This window comes from Homo sapiens, chromosome 18, assembly GCF_000001405.40.
Source record: "Homo sapiens chromosome 18, GRCh38.p14 Primary Assembly".
Lineage (NCBI taxonomy): Eukaryota > Metazoa > Chordata > Mammalia > Primates > Hominidae > Homo > Homo sapiens.
Genome location: NC_000018.10, coordinates 49619950 through 49639125, shown reverse-complemented (window position 1 = coordinate 49639125; position 19176 = coordinate 49619950). Strand labels below are relative to the sequence as shown.

At 46.9% G+C, this 19176-nt stretch overlaps 1 long non-coding RNA gene across 1 annotated transcript in view, besides 1 other annotated feature; it reads right to left on the bottom strand.

Annotated features, from left to right (window-relative positions):
- Positions 1-19176, bottom strand: part of LOC105372112 (uncharacterized) — a 127792-nt gene that overhangs the window by 101358 nt on the left and 7258 nt on the right. The gene's annotated exons all lie outside the window — the stretch shown is intronic.
- Positions 410-610: a silencer, noted in NCBI's record as "peak3145 fragment used in MPRA reporter construct". NCBI's record gives its function as "represses an SCP1 promoter by STARR-seq MPRAs in K562 erythroleukemia cells {active_cell/tissue: K562}" and the evidence as "EXISTENCE:reporter gene assay evidence [ECO:0000049][PMID:32103011]".

Below are 19176 nucleotides of genomic sequence, written 5' to 3'. Positions count from 1 at the left end.
TGCAGGGGAGGTCAGCCTCCAGGAAGACCAGCAGGGCCTACACGCAGGGAGGCTTCTAGCAGATGGTGAGGCCTGCCCAGGCCTCCCACTGGGGGGCCCAGCTGAGAACTGGGTGCAGCTGGGGAGCAGGGCAAAGAAGGTAGGCTTGGGAGGCGTGCCAGGTCGCAGAGGTCCATGACAAGTCTCTGGGAATGTTCTTTCCTGCTACAAAGTGTGGTATCCCCATCCCCAACCCAGTCCCTACCCAGGGCATAATTACAACTGGGTGCAGTCAGCCTGTATCCCCTGAAGCCTTCCCCTGTCTTCCCTGAGATTTCCTTGGGGGTTCCCTTCCCATCTCAGCACTCGAGGCCTCCAGATTCCTCCCCTTTCCATTGGTTCTCAACCCTGTGAGCACTAGAATCTCCTGGGGACTTTTAAAAACATAGACGTGGACTCCTCCTAGAAATTCAGTTTCCATTGGTCTAGAGGCAGGGAGGAAGTGCTGGACAATTGCCTAAAAGATAAAAGGACTTGCCCAGGTCACAAATCCCTCTGGTAGGGAAGCCTGGACTGAGATAAGGCTCCCGACAGCCATCAGGAGCAGAGTGTGGAACAGATGCTAAGGGCTGTCCCACACTTGTTTCTCAGATTTTGGACTTCCAATTCGGAGCTCCTTTCTCAACACCACTCTGCCCCCAAGAATGACCACCATTGTTTCCCACTTGATGTCACAAGCATGTCCTTCAACAGAGCCTGACTTTCAGACTTTGGACAGTGAAAAATACACCTTTGACAGTCAGGCTGTGTAGAGCCCAAAAGAAGTTTCTAAACTCCTATTAGCCACAAGTCCTGTAAATAGATCTCACTTAACAGCCTCAGGTCAACTCCTAGAGGCCCTGAGCACTGCTTTCCAATTCTTCTGTAGAAAATAAATAATAACAATATAAAACTTACAACACTCTTGTAAGAATTACTTGAAGTAATACCCACAAGGAATAATGCCTGACAGGTAAGCCAGCATCCAGTCCTTCACAAATGCCTCTGCAGGAGATCTGCCATGGGCCAAGCACTGTCTGAGCATGGGGGTACATGGTGGCACCCCTAATATGGCCCAGAGTCTGCCATGGGCCAATCACTGTCTGATCCTGTTAGACTCTGGTCTCAATCCCCCATCTGCTTTCATGAAAGTCAGCCAGTGAGTGTTCTGTTTAGTTGGTCCTTAGAAAAAAACAAATGTGTTAGGCCATTCTTGTATTGCTATAAAGAAATACCTGAGGCTGGGTAATTTATAAAGAGAAGAGGTTTAATTGATGTAAGGTTCTGACGGCTGTACAGGAAGCATGGTGCCAGCATCTTCCTGACTTTTGGTGGGGCCTCAGGGAGCTTACACTCATGGCAGAAGGTAAAGTGGGATCAGCACATCACATGGTGAGAGCAGGAGCAAGAGAGAGGAGGGGTCCTAGACTCTTTCCAACAACCAGATCTGGCATGAACTAACTGATGAGAACTCACTCATCACCACGGGGATGGTGCTAAGCCACTCATGAGGGATCCGTCCCCATGATCCAGTACCTCCCACCAGGCCCCACCTCCAACATTGGGAATCACATTTCAACATGAGGTTTGGAGGGAACACACATCCAAAAACATCCAAACCATATCAAAATGTATTAATAGTTGAATATTCAAAGCAGACACAATGGTGAGCAATCCTCCATTTAACAAAAGAATTAATTACAGGACTTCTCCAAAGAGATAACTCCCTTAGCCCATCTAAAACAGAATTTTACAGCCTGAGCAACATGGCAAAATCCCGTCTCTACAAAAAATACAAAAAAATTAGCGGAGGCCAGGCGCAGTGGCTCATGCCTGTAATCCCAGCACTTTGGAGGCCAAGGCAGGTGGATCACTTGAGGTCAGGAGTTTGAGACCAGCCTGGCCAACATGGTGAAACCCTGTCTCAACTAAAAATACAAAAAATTAGCCAGGCATGGTGGCAGGTGCCATAATCCCAGCTACTCAGGAGGCTGAGGCAGGAGAATCGCTTGAACCTGGCAGGCAGAGGTTGCAGTGAGCCGAGATCACACCATTGCACTCCAGCCTGGGCAACAAGAGTGAAACTCCATCTCAAAAAAAAAAAAAAAAAAAAAAAAAGGCAAGCTGTGGTGGCTCACTTCTGAAGTCCCAGCTACTTGGGAGACTGAGGTGGGAGAATCGCTTGAGCCCAGGAAGTGGAGGTTGCAGTGAGCTCGCGCCACTGCACTCCAGCCTGGGCAACAGAGGGAGACACTGTCTCAAAAAGAATTTTTAAATAAAACAAAATAAAATTTTATTTATATAGCGTCAATCTAGTCACAAATTTTTTGGTATAAAACAAAGGTTCATAATGTGCATATAGCTCTCTATGTCTGTATGGTTGTGTTCTCACTATAAATGTGATTTAGGCAGGACCTTTCAGGTGAGGAAAGCTAGACTTGGAGAGGTTCTAAGCAAAAACAGACATTCCCAGCACTCCATATTTTGTGGCTGATTGTTGAGAGCACATTTCTCAACCTGCCAAAATCCTGTTGTCAATACTATAATTTCAGGATTATTTCTAGGTTCGTTACTAGAGAAATTTCTCTGAATGTGTAGAGAAAAAAAAAACCCTATTGTTACACCTACACTGTCTACAGAAAGTAGAGTACAGGTTACCAGGGACTGGAGTGAGAAGGAAATGGGAGCTATTGTTTAATAACTTCTGTTTAGGATAATGAAAAAGTTCCAGAGTTTCTGTTTGGGATCATAAAAAGTTCTAGAGTTTCTGTTGGGATCGTGAAAAAGTTCGAGAGTTTCTGTTTGGGATCATGAAAAAGTCCTAGAGTTTCTGTTTGGGATCATGAAAAAGTTCTAGAGTTTCTGTTTGGGATCATGAAAAAGAAGTTCTAGAAATGGATAGTGGTGACAGTTGCACAACAATGTGAGTGTGGTATTTAATGCCACTGAATTGTACACTTAAAAATGGTTAAAAGGGTAAATTTTATGTTATATATATTTTAACACAAAAAAATTAAATCAAAAAAGTGTTCAAATTAAAAATAAAATCTAACATAGAAAAAAAGACCTAGCACAAACTGTGGGTCACAGTAGGCTTATGTTGTAAGCTTAACTTCACCTCTGCTCTTTCCTTCTGCCTCTCTCTACCCCAGTGTAATATAGAGGACTAATTAAAAGAAAATATTCAGAATTGAAGTAATGCTGAGATACTTCTAACCCAGGATACTGGCAAAAAATAATGTGTGATGATACCCTTTGCTCAAAAATATGTAGGAATAGGACACTTTCATATATTCTATTGAAAAGAAGAATCGGTCAGCCTATTTGGAAAGCAATTGAACAATACTTTATAAAAATATATTTATTAAAATTAAAAATAAGTACACTAAGGCCAGGCACGGTGTCTCACATCTGTAATCCCAGCACTTTGGGAGGCCGAGGCGGGTGGATCACAAGGTCAGGAGATTGAGACCATCCTGGCTAACATGGTGAAACCCTGTCTCCACTAAAAATACAAAAAATTAGCTGGGCGTGGTGGCGGGCGCCTGTAGTCCCAGCTACTCAGGAGGCTGAGGCAGGAAAATGATGTGAACCCAGGAGGCGGAGCTTACAGTAACTCAAGATCGCGCCACTACACTGCAGCCTGGGCGACAGAGCGAGACTCCGTCTCAAAAAAAAAAAAAAAAAATACACTAAAAAATATCTGGTATTAGAGAAAGCATAGACATATATATTAATGGAAAAAATTAGAAAGTCCAGAAATAGACCCAAACAAATATGGTCAGTTGATTTTTTACAAAGGTATGAAGTCATCTCAATGAGAAAAGATGATCCTTTTAGCCAATGTTGTCAAACAATTGGATGTCCATATGCAAATGAATTAACCTCAACCCATGCAGCCTACCTTATTCAAAAATTCACTTTAAAAATGAATCATATGCCAAAGTATAAAATCAAAAACTATAAACCTAAAATTATAAAACACAGAGGAAAACATACAAGAAAATCTCCATGACTTTGTGTTAGGCAAATATTTCTCAGGTGCTGTATCAAAACTATGATCCAGAGAAGACAAAAATTGTTGTTAGACTTTACTAAAAACTTTTTAAAAGCACACTTAAGAGGATGAAAAAAAAAACAGGCTACACACTGGAAAATAATATTTGCAAACACATAAATAACTTGTATCCAGGTTACATAAAGAATTCTCAAATAAGAAAACAAGCAGTTGAATAAAGAAAAAAGGTAAAAGGTTTGAAAAGAATCTTTGAGAAAGAGAAGAAACATAGATGGCAATTAAGCACAGGAAAAGATGTTTGATGACACTTGTCATTAGGGAAATTCAAATTAAATCCACAATGAGATACCAGTAAACACTAGGATGGCTAAAATCAAAATAACAACACCACGTGCTATCAAGGACACAGAACAACATGTACTGCTGGTGGGAATTCAAAGTGGTACAGCCATAGAAAACAGGTGGCAGTTCCTTGTAAAATTAAATATATACTTAGCATACAACCCCGCAATCCTATTTCTAGAAATTTAACCAAGAGAAATGAAACCATACATCCACATAAATAAACTTTACATGAATGTTTATAGCAGTTTTATTTTAAGTGTCAAAAAATGGAAACAACACAAGTGTCTCTCAACTGAGGAATGGATAAATAATCCATTAGTACATCCATAGAGTAAAATACTAGTCAGAATAAAAGGAAACAAATCACTGATATTTGCAACAATGTGAATCGTTTTATAAATGAATGATATGGATGAATTTTGTTATGAATGAATGAGTCTTGTTGTGGATGGATCTTATCATGCTAAGTGAAAGAAGCCAGACTCAAAAGTCTACTCTGTGATTCCATTTCTATGACAATCTAGAAAAGGCAAAACTATAGAAACAGATCAGTGGTTTCAAGGGTGGGAGATGGAGAAGAAATTGACTACAAAAAAAAAAAAAAGTAACTTTCTGAGGTTATGGACCTGTTCTGTATCTTGATTATGGTGTTGGTTATGATCTGTATGTGTCTGTGCAAACTTGCAGAAATCTACATGAACATGGGTTAATTTTACTGTACCTAAATCGTACCTTCATGCATTCCCTTTAATCAGAAATCATGTATGGGAATCTATTCCATAGCATTAAAAAGCACCAATTGCCTGGGCATGGTGGCTCACGCCTGTAATCCCAGCACTTTGGGAGGCCGAGGCTGGTGGATCACTTGAGGTCAGGAGTTTGAGACCAGCCTGGCCAACATGGTGAAACCCCTTCTCTACTAAAAATACAAAAATTAGCTGGGTGTGGTGGTGGGCGCCATAATCCCAGCTACTCGGGAGGCTGAGGCAGGAGAATTGCTTGAACCCAGGAGGCAGATATTGCAGTGAGCCGAGATTGCTCCATTACACTCCAGCCTGGGCAACAAGAGCGAAACTCCATCTCAAAAAAAAAAAAAAAAAAAAAAAAAATCAACACAGAAGCATTGTTTATATTGCATAAAACAGAAACCAGTCTGATGGCCTATCAATAGAAACCTGTTTAATAAATGGTGGTGTAGCCATTTCAAGGAATAGTATTTAGCCATTTAAAAAGGCATACTATTTATGCCAGTTAACCTGGAGGGATTTTAATATGACATTGTTATGCAAGAATAGCAAGATACAGAAAGTCTATATAGAATGATGTTATTTAAAAAAAAATACACCACCATGAGTTAACCTATAGATGAGTTTGTATGATTGTGTGCACATGTATGAAGAAAGGTGTAGTGGGATGGGCACTAGTCTGTTAACATTGATGACTTGAGTTGGGGAGCTGGGAATAGAGAGTCAAGGTGAGTTTGAAAGAAAGGCGGGAGGGAATGGAGGGAGGTCAGGCTCAAAGGATGAAGGAAGGAAGAATGCCTAGAACTAGCCTGAGATTAGCTGTGACTACAGACCTCTCCTTCGCTGTGTTCTCTCCCCTTATTGCTGAGACTTTTTATCAATATCTCAGTCCCACCAGGAGAGGAAGAGAAAGGGATTTCAAAACTTCTCCCAAGGACCTGCAGCCTTCCTACCGCACAAGGGGCTGGGACTGGCATCACTCAGTTCTGCATCCCAGCCAGGATGTAGAAGGAAGCGTGTCTCTTTGCTGTGGGCTGTCTTCCCCCACTCCAGGACAAGGCGAACATCGTGGGGCTGGTGGGAGAGGACCACAGGCAGGAAGAGTTTGGGGAGGAGAGGCAGCTATGAGTAGAGCTGATGTCTTCTTGAGGACAGGAAGCAGTGAGGGCTGCCGAGGCAAAAGCCTCGCTTTCAAAGAAGCTGGAGCAGAGCCGGAGTCATTCTCTGATGAGCTCTGGACACAAGAGTCAGCCAACAAGCCCTGACACTCCCTTACCGTGCACTTAGCTCTGCACGAGTTGCTAAGGAGGAAATATGAGAAAATAGGTCTCATCCACCAGGGAATGGATCTCACAGGATTTACACTTTCATTCGCGGGACAAGAGTATTGCATTTAAAAAGTAAAGAGCACTCAAAGAGTGTTTATTAATACAAATGGAGCTCAGAAGAGAGGGGCCAGGCACAGGAATTTTTGAACTAGTGCCCATGCCCCTCTTTTGTCTTTGCCCTTGCCTTCCCCAGCTCTCACAGGTGGTGGCTTCAATTTCCTTGCCTGGGAGAATTTTGCAGCGGGGTGTCTGAACTTTCCAAAGTTGAGGAGAACGGGACTTGAGGAGTGGGATGTTCCTAGACTAAAATCAGTAATTAGGGAGTGGCCTGTGGGTCCCCAAATCAATAGAAACTTACAACCTGCTCCCCGAAAGCACCTCACACTGAGAGGCTCTCAGAAGGAATGGCTTTTATGGCACAGCAGGGAGGCTGGACCTTGGGCACTGGGCTCACCACAGAAGCCCGTAACTCAAAGGTGACCAGCAAGACACAGCACAGTAGATCCACAGAGGCCACACCTGCCAGGCAGGGGCATCCTCCACTGTGACCAGTAAGGACCCATGGCAAGAGGGGCTGGGAGCCTTTAGCCAACCCAGTGGGGGACCAGAGGGTGACCAAAGAAAGACCTGGGTTGAATTTCTGGACAGCCCAGTATGATGGGGATGTGAAGTCAGCATTGAGCCATTTTACAGAAAAGGAAGAACTATGGTATTGCTTGGGTACTCCAGTTGGTGAACTGAGCATCTTTGCAGTCTTCCGGTCCCAAGAGATCTGGAGGTGGGGATTATGGATGAGGTGGGGTTCAGTCTGACCTTGGGGACAATAACCAGGACTGGGGACAAAAGTAGGGACTAGAGTACAGAATGAGCAAATGTGATCGCCCAGGGGAGCAGGGAGCATGTGACAGGGACAGTGAAGAAACAGGCTTGGCTGGAGCCCAGGGTCCAAATCAGGGAGCAGAAAGAAAGCTACTTTCAATGTCTGTCTTCCTTATCATCAGAACACATCTATCACAGAACACTTGCATGCACAAGAGGTCCGGCTGCCTGTGAGGTCGTAGAGGAGTGAAATGCATGGCTGTGCCTTCCGTGAGCTCATGAGGTGGTTAAGATGATACACGCACATGCAAACAAGCACACCTAAGGCAGAGTGCTGCAGGAAGGACAGAGATCATTCGTGTGCGAGTGTTGATCCAGCCAGGGCTTCTTGAGAGTCTTCTTCACACCATACCAACCACTGCAGATGCAGAGGTGATTAATACAAGGCACCACCCTGGAGAAACGCCCAGAAATCACTCCCAGTGGAGGCAGGTTTCCTAGAACTGGTCCTAGAATGTGTGGCGGGATTTGGTGGGCATCCAGGGAGAAAGCGAGTGCTCCCCCACCTTCGGTACTAACGGCACATGGGGTCAAAGGCCTGGGGAACATCCTAGGTGAGTCAGGGGTGAGGTGGGCAGAGAGGGGGCCAGTCTGAGCAGAAGATCCAAGGGAGAGGAAAGGCAGAAGGGGCTGGAGAGGACAGTTGGGAGGAGATGACAAAATGTCCTGGATGGCACCCGAAGGCCTCTGGGCTTTACGCTGTGGGCCCCTGGAGCTACTGAGGATTTCTGATCTGCAGTGGGGCCTAAATGTGCCCCCACAAAAGCTCCTAACACTTCCAAGGTGAGTGGCAAATGGGACTGGGTGGGGCTGGAGTTTCCACGTGGGGAACGTGTCCCAGCAAATATCATATGTAGCCTGGTTATCTAGTGGCCATCTCTGAGTAGCCTCCCAGACATCCTGCCAGCCATGGACACCAGTGAGAGCCTGAGGACTCTGAGTCCTGAGGGAGCCCACTGTCCTCTGCAATAGGCTGATTTCAGGCATTCCTTTCTCCTTCCAGTCAGACAAGAAAAGATAACAGAGGGTCCCCATCACGGCAGCTTCTGTCCCCATTGTCACCTGAAAAGGGGAGAGTGATGAACCCCTGGGGCCCACAATAAATCTAAGTGCACTCCATGAGTCCCAGGATTACTCAGATGGAGTCTGGGCCAGCTAGGCCTGGTTGACCATCAACTTAACTGCAGGATGCACAAAATGTATCTTCAGGTGCCTCAGGTAAGGAAGGGTGTGGGGGTGTGTGTGTGTGTGTGTGTGTGTGTACCCACAAGGCTCCTGGTCACAGGGTGTTGGGTAATCCAGTCCTGATGCCCAGCCCCACAGCAGCTAAAAGATTGCAACAGGCATTGCCTTTGGATATGCCAGCAAGCAAACTCTCTGCAAGCAGGTCATTGTCCCCATGAACTCTGATGTCATGAACAAATTGCACCACATACTCCCTCTTCTCACAGAAAGTCCTATACAGCTGAAAGAAACCAAACACCAAAAGCAGCCTAGACTTTAGGCTGTGCAGCCATTCTCACCAACACTTAGGTACCCAATAAATGTGTGTTGATTTAATGGTAAAGGGGTAACAAAAAGACCCACCCCAGGGAGTTCTGTAGGACATGCCAGGGCAGAGGAGCTTTCCACACCTTACCTTGGGATGGTGGTAATGGTGGTAGAGGTACTGGTGTTGATGGGAAGAGACAGAAGTTGTGGATTTGCTAAATCAGAATTTGCAGGTTTGGGTTTGCTTTTTTAGGAGCAAAAATTAAAAATTTTAAAAAGCATAGGTTTGCTTTCTTGATGAGAATGAATGGATGAATAAAATAAAGTAGGAAAGAATTTCCAGGCCATTAACAATTAGGCATTAATATTTTCAAAAGCATCCCAGGTGAAGTCAAAGACTGAGAACCAACTGCCCCAAGGGAAGAGTCTCAAAGAGGAGCTTGTTTTCAAACCGAATTACATGCCTGGAATCAATCGATCAACCATTTCTGTAGAACCCACCCTTGAGCCACCACTGCACCCCAGATTCCTGCCTCTTTCTATGGGCTCCATTCCACATCACCCCCTTAAGTGCCCTGCTGCCCATTTGACTGCCAATCCCTTAGCACTTTCTTCCAGCCTCAGGTGTGAAAAACCTACGATCACTACCCACTGTCTAGACCCCACCACCTCCCACCCTGCATGCTTTGGGATCCTCCCCTGACTGCAAGAGGTAAGAAGAGTTTTTCGTTTTGTGTTTGTTTCCCAAGCATACAGGCAGCCAGAAGTAGGGAAAATAGGAGCATATTCAACATGCGACTGCCAGGTGCAAGGGCGAGCACCCGTTGGACCGCCGGCTGAGTACAGCCCTGCCAGGGCACCCTGCACTTGGAATCCTAAAATGCAAATTTCCCCTGTGGCAGCCCTGGCCTCTCCTGCAGGGGGCAGCCACTCTGGAAGGAAAGATGAGATTTAAATTGGTAATCAAGCACTGTACCAAATTGGACTTTGACCTTGTTCAGAATTCCACTGGTCCATGTTCCCTGACCCCCCTGCCCCCTGCTTCTGCCCAATTGTTCCCTTGAGTAGCTGCCTGCCATCCGAGGCAGTCAGGCGGGCTGTCGCCAGCTGCTCCTCCCTGGCTGCCTTCCACCTGGCCAGCTCAGAAAGCAGTGGAAATCAAGAAGCTTTGCCTTTCCAGCTTCTCTTGCTACTTCTGGGCCGGAACCAAGACAAGAGTGGTTTGGATGGGGCCTCGGCCCCGCCTGGGCCTGCTCATAGGGCATGGGAAGAGGGGAGTGCAGCCTCAGCACGTCCGTCACTCTCAGTGCATTCTTGGTTACCAGAGCAATTCCCAGACAAGGCTTGGAATGGCCAGCATGGCCCACCGGCCTGCTGCATCCAGGGCAGCAGCACAGAACCCACACTGATTTCTTCAAGCTCCCTCCACTGCCCCAGAATGCCCTCTGCTCTCACTGCAAAACACCGAGGTTTTGCTCATTTCTTGTGTCTGGAAGGTCTTCCATGTTCTCATCTACATGTCTAAATCCTACCCTTTCTTCCAGGGCTGGGAAACCGCTTGCTTCCTAGAGAGCACCTACCCTCTCCTATAGCCCCACCATTCTTCTCTTACCTCCTCAATCCATGATTCAAATCAAGTATCTGGGGCATTTAATCTTATTTGCCTTGTCCCATTGTTTCAAGTCTCATCTTCCCAACAAGATGGTAAGCTCCCAGGGACTGTGTATTACCTAGATTGGCACTGAGTAGGCCTACTAGGAATTAATGAATGAAAGAATAAATGAATGAGTAAACAGAGTGCTTTGGTCATTGAAATGCTTCCTTTATAAGCCCAGGAATTCTTCCCACCAAGAGAGCTAGCTCTTCTTTGCGTTGGCTTTCCTGGAGACCAAGCCTCTGGTGGAAACTGCCTTCAGTGCCTCCCAGGAAGCCAGGAAATGTCTCACCAGGAGTAACCAGTTAGCCAAGCAGCTGGACTTCTGCCAGTGTGCAGGGCACTAGTGAGTGCAGGGTGCATCTCCTGCCCTCTTTGATCTAACTGGGATGATAGAATGTGCTCACATGAAGCTTTGGTTTCCTGTCAACCTGCAAAGTCATGGCCATGATATGTAAATGCTGAGAGCAACAGGGTATAAGAGGGGCCTGAGCCAGGCCGTCTTAATCAGAGAGCACTCGAAGGACATAGCAAAGAGAGCTGTTGAGTGGAGGCAAGGAAGAAGCCCTCTCCTTCCTCCTCCCCAGCTAGATTCCTTCCCTGTCTACTTCCTCCACTCAGGTCAGCAAGATTCAAAGGATAGGGCCAGGACCAGGGATAAGATTGAGGATGGTCTGGAGGATGGCTGATTGACTCAGGGCATTAATCTAGGGGGCCAGGACCAGGGATTGGCCACATCAGAATGCAGGGTAGCCCCCACGTGTTCACTATTGATCCAAAAGGGGAAACAAAGAGAAAGAGGCTCAAAAAGCCAACCGAGGATGGGTGCAGTGGCTCATGCATAATCCCAGCACTTTGGAGGGCTGAGGTGGAAGAATCACTTGAGGCCATGAGTTAAAGACCAGCCTGGGCAACATAGTGAAACTCCATCTCCACAAAAATCAAAATTAGTCAGGTATGGTGGCACACACCTGTCGTTCTAGCTACTCGGGAGGCTGAGGTGGGAAGATCACTTGAGCCTAGGAAGTCGAGGTTGCAGTGAGCCATGACCATGCCATTGCACTTCAACCTGGCAACAGAGCAAGACCTTGTCTCAAAGAGAGAGCGAGCGAGAAAGTGAGAGAGTGAGTGCACGAGAAAGAGTTACAACACCAAAAGTACAATCTATTTTTTAAAATTGATTAATTGGACTTTATAAAAAATAAAAATAAAAGTCAGCAGGATAGAAGAATAGACAGGCAGGAAAGAAGATGTGGAAAGACAAGTGAGGTGTGAGCTGTTGCATTTTTGACACAGGGAGCCGGGGCTGGTAGGGCTGTTACTGACCTCTGTGCACATGACTTCCTTCTTCAATCTCGGAAGGAAGTCAGGAGCCAGGGGCCACGCTGGGGGCAACCCAGGCAAGGCGCATGCTCTGCAATGCCCCCTTTGTGCCATTACACACCTCTGTCCTCCCTGTGGCAAGGGCAGGAAGCCCTTCAGGTGACAAGAGGCCCATGCTTGTCTTCTGAGGCAAAGGAGAGGGGACTTGGAGCACAGAACATCAAGGGAAGAGGAGTGGGCAGGGACTGGCCTAGAGGCAAGCATGTGGAGTGGGCAAGGCGTGCCTGTGGGCCTGGAGAAACAGGGTTGAGGAGGCTTTCTGGGGCACCCCTAGGGACAAAAGGCCCCCGAGTTTTTCCTCAACAGTAAATCCCCCAAGGCACGGTGTGGGCCCTTCCACCCTGGCTCAGAGCCCTTCCCACTGTGTAAGCAGCGTCATCTGTCATCAGTGACTGAGCTGAGTGCCAGTTCTGCTCCTTTTATTACCCATGCATTCCCAGGAAGGGGCAAGGACCCGAAGCAGAAAGCAGCCCCTGTGGGCTGGCACTGTGGGCACACCTCACAGCTAACGCGGCACCTTTCTTTCCAGAGGATTTTTTTTTGGGGGGGGGGACAGAGTCTTGCTCTGTCACCCAGGCAGGAGTGCAATGGCATAATCTTGGCTCACTGCAACCTCCGCCTCCCAGGTTCAAACGATTCTCCTGCTTCAGCCTTCCAAGTAGCTGGGATTACAGGAATGCGATACCATGCCTGGCTAATTTTTGTATTTTTAGTAGAGATACGATTTCACCATATTGGTCAAGCTGATCTCGATCTCCTGACCTTGTGATCCAACTGCCTCAGCCTCCCAAAGTGCTGGGATTACAGGCGTGAGCCACCATGCCCAGCATTTCCGGAGGAATTTTATACAACCCCCTGTAAGACCACCTATCAATGGCAAAACTGTTGGTCCACAGAGCACGTGTCCAGGCCAGAGACAGCCCCACCTCTGGGGTGCACCTTTTCCTTTCATTTCCAAATGTCCCCCAAGGCCATGGAAGGGCTCTGCTCCCTCCAACAAAGGAACAGCATCCCAAAGCCCGGTGCACACACAGATGAACTTCCTCTCCTATGCAGCCTGAGACGTGGAAATGAGGAAAGCAGTGATTCTCAAAACTGGCAGGGAAGGGCTGTGGGAGAGTTTCATTCATTGTAGGGAGGGTGGATCTGAGAACTGTACACTCTTGAGCATGCACACACGTACGGGCACACACACAGAGCGTAGCGTGGCAGCTGAGAAGCAGTGGAGAAGCACAGAGAGGGAACAGAATGGGGGCCAATTTGGAAGTTGATGTATCCACCGCCGATCACTTCATGCTGGGTTAGAGCTGTGGTTCCTGTACCTGGCTATGTGGCAGAATCACCTGGTGAGTTCAGTAAACATGCAGATTCTCAGGCCACACTACAGTCCTACCAAGACACAACCACATGGGTAGGGAAATGTGTGTGTGTGTGTGTGTGTGTGTGTGTGTGTGTGTGTGTGTGTGTTTCACAAGCTCCCCTGGGAATCGGATGCCGTGTTTCCCTATTCCGAGTTCAGAATTGCTGGATTTAGGTGAGGTTGCAGGCAAATCCGCAATGCTCTTGTTCAGGCCACGGGCCGCCCTCTAAGGACACACTCTGGGCCCAGAACACAGACTGGGCAAACTAGATTCACTCCCAGAGAAGCATCGTGCAGCCTGAATTCCTGCTGTCACGCTCTTGGCCACACTAGCTGGTCACCTTTGGCCCAGATGAATCAACTTTCGCTATTCCATAGGACCTCTCTTCTAGCACTTTGTTGTTTATTTTCACAAGATCAAATATTATGGATATTTAATGATGGAAATCTGAATGCTATTCTCATTCCTGTTTAATGTGTTTGCCCATGAACCTCACCTGCCAGAGGTAATGTGGAAATCCGTCACCCACTGGCTCATTCAAGACAAGCCTGGGGTCATTAAACCATGACCTTATTTTCTTTGGAGCTTCTATTTGCCTAAATTCTTCTACCTTCTGCTGCAAAGGGATTTGAAGAGTGAGGCTTAGACCAGTACCCCTGGGCACAACAGCTGCGCAGAATGAGACAGTGCCTTTGTTTCTCTGTTTTTTTCTACTTAAGCTAAGACACAGTCACAGAAGAAAGAGGATAGCATCTGTGTGGGCTGGAGCCCAGTCCTTGTGATTTACCACTGAGGTCTCGCTCAGGAACAACCCTGGGTCTGAGTCACACGTGGCAGGGCCTTTAAGAGGAGAAAAAATAATTCCTGAAATGAACAAGTTTACATTTTGGCCAGGGAGGCCATGCCTCCCTGAGAGGGAAGCACTCCCTCTCACCCACAAGGTCAGGACTGGTCGATGATGGAAATCGGTGAGAGAGGTTGTGAAGCTGGAGAACATGGAAACGAAGGTTGGGGCCATCCCAAAGTGGGTAGTCAGACAGGAAACTTTATGCTGGGTCTCTAAAGGGCTAAACCCGAGCGGAAAGGTGGAACAAGAAAATATCTGTCCCACAAAGTGAGAAGATTACTTGTCTCAAACTTGGTGCTGAGTCAAGGGGAAACTGTCTTCCCTGAGAATGTGTAGGGAAGGAAGGATGGGCAGAAGGAGGTCAGAAAACTGATACCTACTGAGTGCCCTTTATATGACAGGCACTCACACCACACTACCATAGTTAACCTCACAGATTCTCCCCATTTTTACAGAATAAGAAGCTAAGACAAGAGAGCAGAGGCTTATGGCGTGAGATTGCAGATCCCAAGGTCACTGGCATCATCTAAAGTGAAGAGCTCTGCTCAGACTCTGACTTCTGCTGTCATCCAATGCCCAGAAATGGCCTCCATGTACACCCCTGGAACACGCCTTCTTTCCATTCATCTGGGGCATACTTTGTACTCAGAGACACCCACACCATCGAGACCTTTTGCTCTCACAGTGGGACAGAGTAACAAACCCTACACGGCCTGTCCAGCAGTTTCTGTGTTGCTGCTGTCAGGAACACAGATGTATCTGAGGCCAAGTCCGTATTCTCCGTTAGCTTTTTTTTTTTTTTTTTTTTGAGATGGAGTCTCACACTGTCACCAGGTTGGAGTGCAGTGGCGTGATCTCGGCTCACTGCAACCTCTGCCTCCCGGGTTCAAGCGATTCTCCCGCCTCAGCCTCCCAAGTAGCTGGGACTACAGGCGCATGCCACCACGCCCAGCTAATTTTTGTATTTTTAGTAGAGGCAGGATTCCACCATGTTGACCAGGGTGTTCTCAATCTCTTGACCTCATGATCTGCCCACTTCAGCCTCCCAAAGTGCTGGGATTACAGGCATGAGCCACCGTGCCCAGCCTCTGTTAGCTTTCCTTGTTATCCACGATTCCGCTTTCCATGGTTTCTAAGATCCTCCCATTGAGTACCTGAGGTCCACCGTGGTCTAAAAATATTAAGTGGAAAATTTCAGAAATAATCCAAAAGTTTTAAATTTCTCGCCCTCTGAGTAGTGTGATGAAATCTCACACCATCCTGCTTCATCCCACCTGGAACATGAATCATCTCTTGTCCGGCATAGGCTGCCCCCTGTTTTAGTCACTTAGCATCAGGCTCAGATTGTCTGGGTAGCAGTCAGATCTTATCATATCACTGTGTCAGTATGAAGTATCAGTGCTTGTGTTCAAGTAACCCTTCTTTTTACTTAATAATGGCCGGAAAGTGCAAGAGTAATGATGCTGGCATATTAATTGTTCTATTTTATTATTTATTGTTATTAATCTCTTGCTGTGTCTAATTTATAAAGTAAACTTTACCATAGGAATGCATGTATAGGGCTGGGCACGGTGGCTAACACCTATAATCTTATCACTTTGGGAGGCAAAGGTGGGAGGATCACTTGAGGTCAGGAGTTTGAGCCCAGCCTGGCCAATATGGTGAAACCCCTTCTCCATTAAAAATACAAAGTTAGCCAGGCATGGTGGCAGGCACCTGTAATTCCAGCTACTTGGGAGGCTGAGGCACAAGAATCCCTTGAACCCGGGAGGTGGAGGTTGCAGTGAGATTGTGAGATCATGCCACTGCACTCCAGCCTGAGCGACGGAGCAAGACTCTGTCTGGAAAAAAAAAAAAAAAAAAAAGGAATGCATGTATAGGAAAAAAATCATATATAGGGTGTGGTACTAACCACAGTTTCAGGCATCTACCGAAAGTCTTGGAATGTGGATCCCCCTGAGGATAAGGGGGGACGGCTATAGTCACAAAGTTAAAGAATCTCAGTGCTGAAGGGGATCCCAGTAAAGCTCATCTGGTCCAAGCTTCTGTTTTCTCCGGGGGAACTGAGGTTCTGAGAGAGGATGGAGTCCCAGCATAACCTGACAATGCAGAAGTCAGGACTAGATGCCAAGGAGTGCATTCCAGGCAAGAAGGTTGTGAGAGTGAGTGTGCATACGTGTGTGTCACACACACTGAAGTTGGGGGAAGGTCAGGGGCCAGAGCAGGGGTGCTGTGGCTGCAGACAAGTTTAAAATAGGGAAGGGCCTGGGAGAGCACCAGGTCCCTGAGTGAGTTGTTCAGAATGGGTCCATCACGTTTGCAGGGAGCTTCTAAACACATTTGGCCTGAGGCGTGGCATGAAGAGGTCTTATAACTGTGTGAAGGAACATTGTGCAGAAGAAAAAGATGCGAAGGAAACCTCCTAAAAGCCAAGCCTTGGGACAGAGGTCTCTAACTGGAGACATCAATTAGGAGACGCGATCCAGGTTAGAGCCAGAGGGGATGCATTACCAAGTTCCACTAGGAAAAGGTAACTGGGATCAGAGAAGAACATGGGGGGAAAGGTGGAAGGAGCAAGAACGCATTAGTAAAGGAGAGGCCTTACAAATGATGTAAGGGCTAAAAAAGAATACAAACATAAAAAATAAATAGAAAGGTAGAGGCCACAAGCCAACCTTCCAAGGAGTCATCCCAACTGTTCAAAACCAGGAACAGCAAGGAGCCATAGAGAAGCCAAGAAGCCATTCCGCAGCCTGTGGTCACAGCCACCAGAGCAGCCTGAAGGCCCACGTGGCACTGCAGCTTCCAAGCTCCCGGCTGGGGGTGAGGTCAGTTTAGCCTATGTCACTGCTACAGCCTCTCGCCTCCTTTCTCCCCAGCCTGCCAGGTCCTCTAGGGTCTGTTTCCCTGAAGCTTTGTGCTAGGAGATGGGGAGCATGGCGTCCACCCTCATGAGGGCTACAGAGCCCCGCCCGGCGGTGGCAACATTCACACACCCAGCCCTTCCTTAAAAACCCTCCCTCCTTGCCCAGCCCTCCCCTCAGTCACCACTTCTTGTCAGGGGACTTCAGCTGTTAAATCAACTCTCTGATGAGGTGCCCGACCCAGATCTAATCTCAGGAAAAGGTCAAGATGATTTTCCTGTTTGGGTTCAGCCCCAAGGGCATTCTTGGAGAGGAATCTGCCAGCATCCTGCCTTGACAACCGTTCATTATTACAAAGTCGCAAACATGAATAAAACATGTTCATTTCTAAAAGAGAAAACCTGCTCCGTCTCATGCCTCTCTCCTCCCTCCCCCATTTCTCTCTCTCAATCTCTCTCTCTCTCTCCTTTCCAAACCTGCTCTCAGAGGATGGGGAAGAAATCATGGGTTCCAAGGAGCGTCCTGTACTCATCAGTCACCACACAGAGACAAGCACACACTTCAGTCACAGACTCCTTCTGGCTTGAGCTGCTCATTGAGGCACAGGAAAGGGAGAGGGGGGCACACTAAGTCTCACCCACTCAGTTTAGGTGTCTGGAGACAGCTGGGTTGAGCTCAGGAAAGATGTCCAGTTAGGAATGAGGGATTGGTGGTGGTTTGTATATTATGTTGGAGAAACAGCTGAGAGTGAATGTAGGAAAAAGAGAGAGAGAAGAGAGTGTTTAGGATGCAAGAACAGAGCCTGGTAAAGGAGACTGAGGAGAGGAAGTTGGAGACCCAGGAAACCACGAACAGGTGTGGATCACAGACCGTAAGAATGGGATTTTTTTTTTCTGAGAAACAAGAGGTCACCCATTGTGGAAAGCAGTGTGACAATTCCTTGAAAATCTAAAAGCTGAACTACCATTTGACCCAGCAATCCCATTACTGGGCATATACTCAGAGGAATATAAACTATTATAAAGATACATGCACACGAATGTTCATTGCAGCACTATTCGCAACGGCAAAGACATGAAGTCAACCCAAATGCCCATCAATGATAGACTGGATAAAGAAAAGGCGAAACCTGGGGGGTAAGGTAAAAATTTTTTTTCAAAAAAAAAAAAAAAAAAGAGAGAAAATGTGGTACATGTACACCATGGAATATTATACTATGCAGCCATAAAAAATGAAATCATGTCTTTTGTGGGAACATGGATGGAGCTGGAAGATGTCATCCTTAGCAAACTAAAGCAGGAACAGAAAACCAAATTACCACATGTTCTCACTTATAAGCGGGAGCTAAATGATGAGACCCCATGAACACGAAGGAAACAAAAGACACTGGGGTCTACTTGAGCGTGGAGAGTGGGAGGAAGTGGGAGGAGGGAGAGGGAGGAGGGAGAGGAGCAGAGAAAATAACGATTGGGTACTGGGCTTCATACCTGGGTGATAAAATCATCTGTACAACAAACCCCTGGGACAAGAGTTCACCAATACAACAAACCTTCACATGTACAAAAAAGAGGTCAAGAGAATTGTCTTGACCTCTGTCAAGAATCTATCTAGAAGGATGAACATTGGCCCTACCCACAGGCATCTTGGCACCTCACTGAGAGCAGTGTTGGTCCTGAGGAGAAGGACAAGCCAGACAGCTGTGAGTTAAGGCAGGAATGAGAGGTAAGGTAGTGTGGAAAGGGCAAGTTTAGAAAACACCTTCCAGAAGGTATGAGAAACAGAAAGGTAGCAACATAGGGCTGTGAAGGCAAGGCAGCGGGAAGGAAGTTTATTTATTCATTTTTTTAAATGAATGAGGTTTGAAAATGTTAAATGCAGATAGAAAAAGCTAGCCCAGAGGGGAGGTGTTAAAGATATATGGGAGACAACGTTTGGTGGGATGAGCAGGTTGTGGAATCCAGGGCACAGTTAGCAGGGAAGGGTCTTTCTCTTTGGCGAAGGCCTATTTCAAATCAAGGAGAATGTCTAAGGCATCACAGGGGTGACAGACTTGCAGTCCCTTGGGCAACTGCCTTCCAAGGCATGTAGCCAGCCCCAGGAAGCATCGGATCTGGCCCATGACATAGCAGCTTCTCTCCAGAGGGACTGCTCGAGCTCTAGGAGGATGCATTCTTCTCACAGCTCAGACTGATGAATTCATGCCTTCAGGCTACCAGCTCATGGAGGCAAAAACATGGATCTC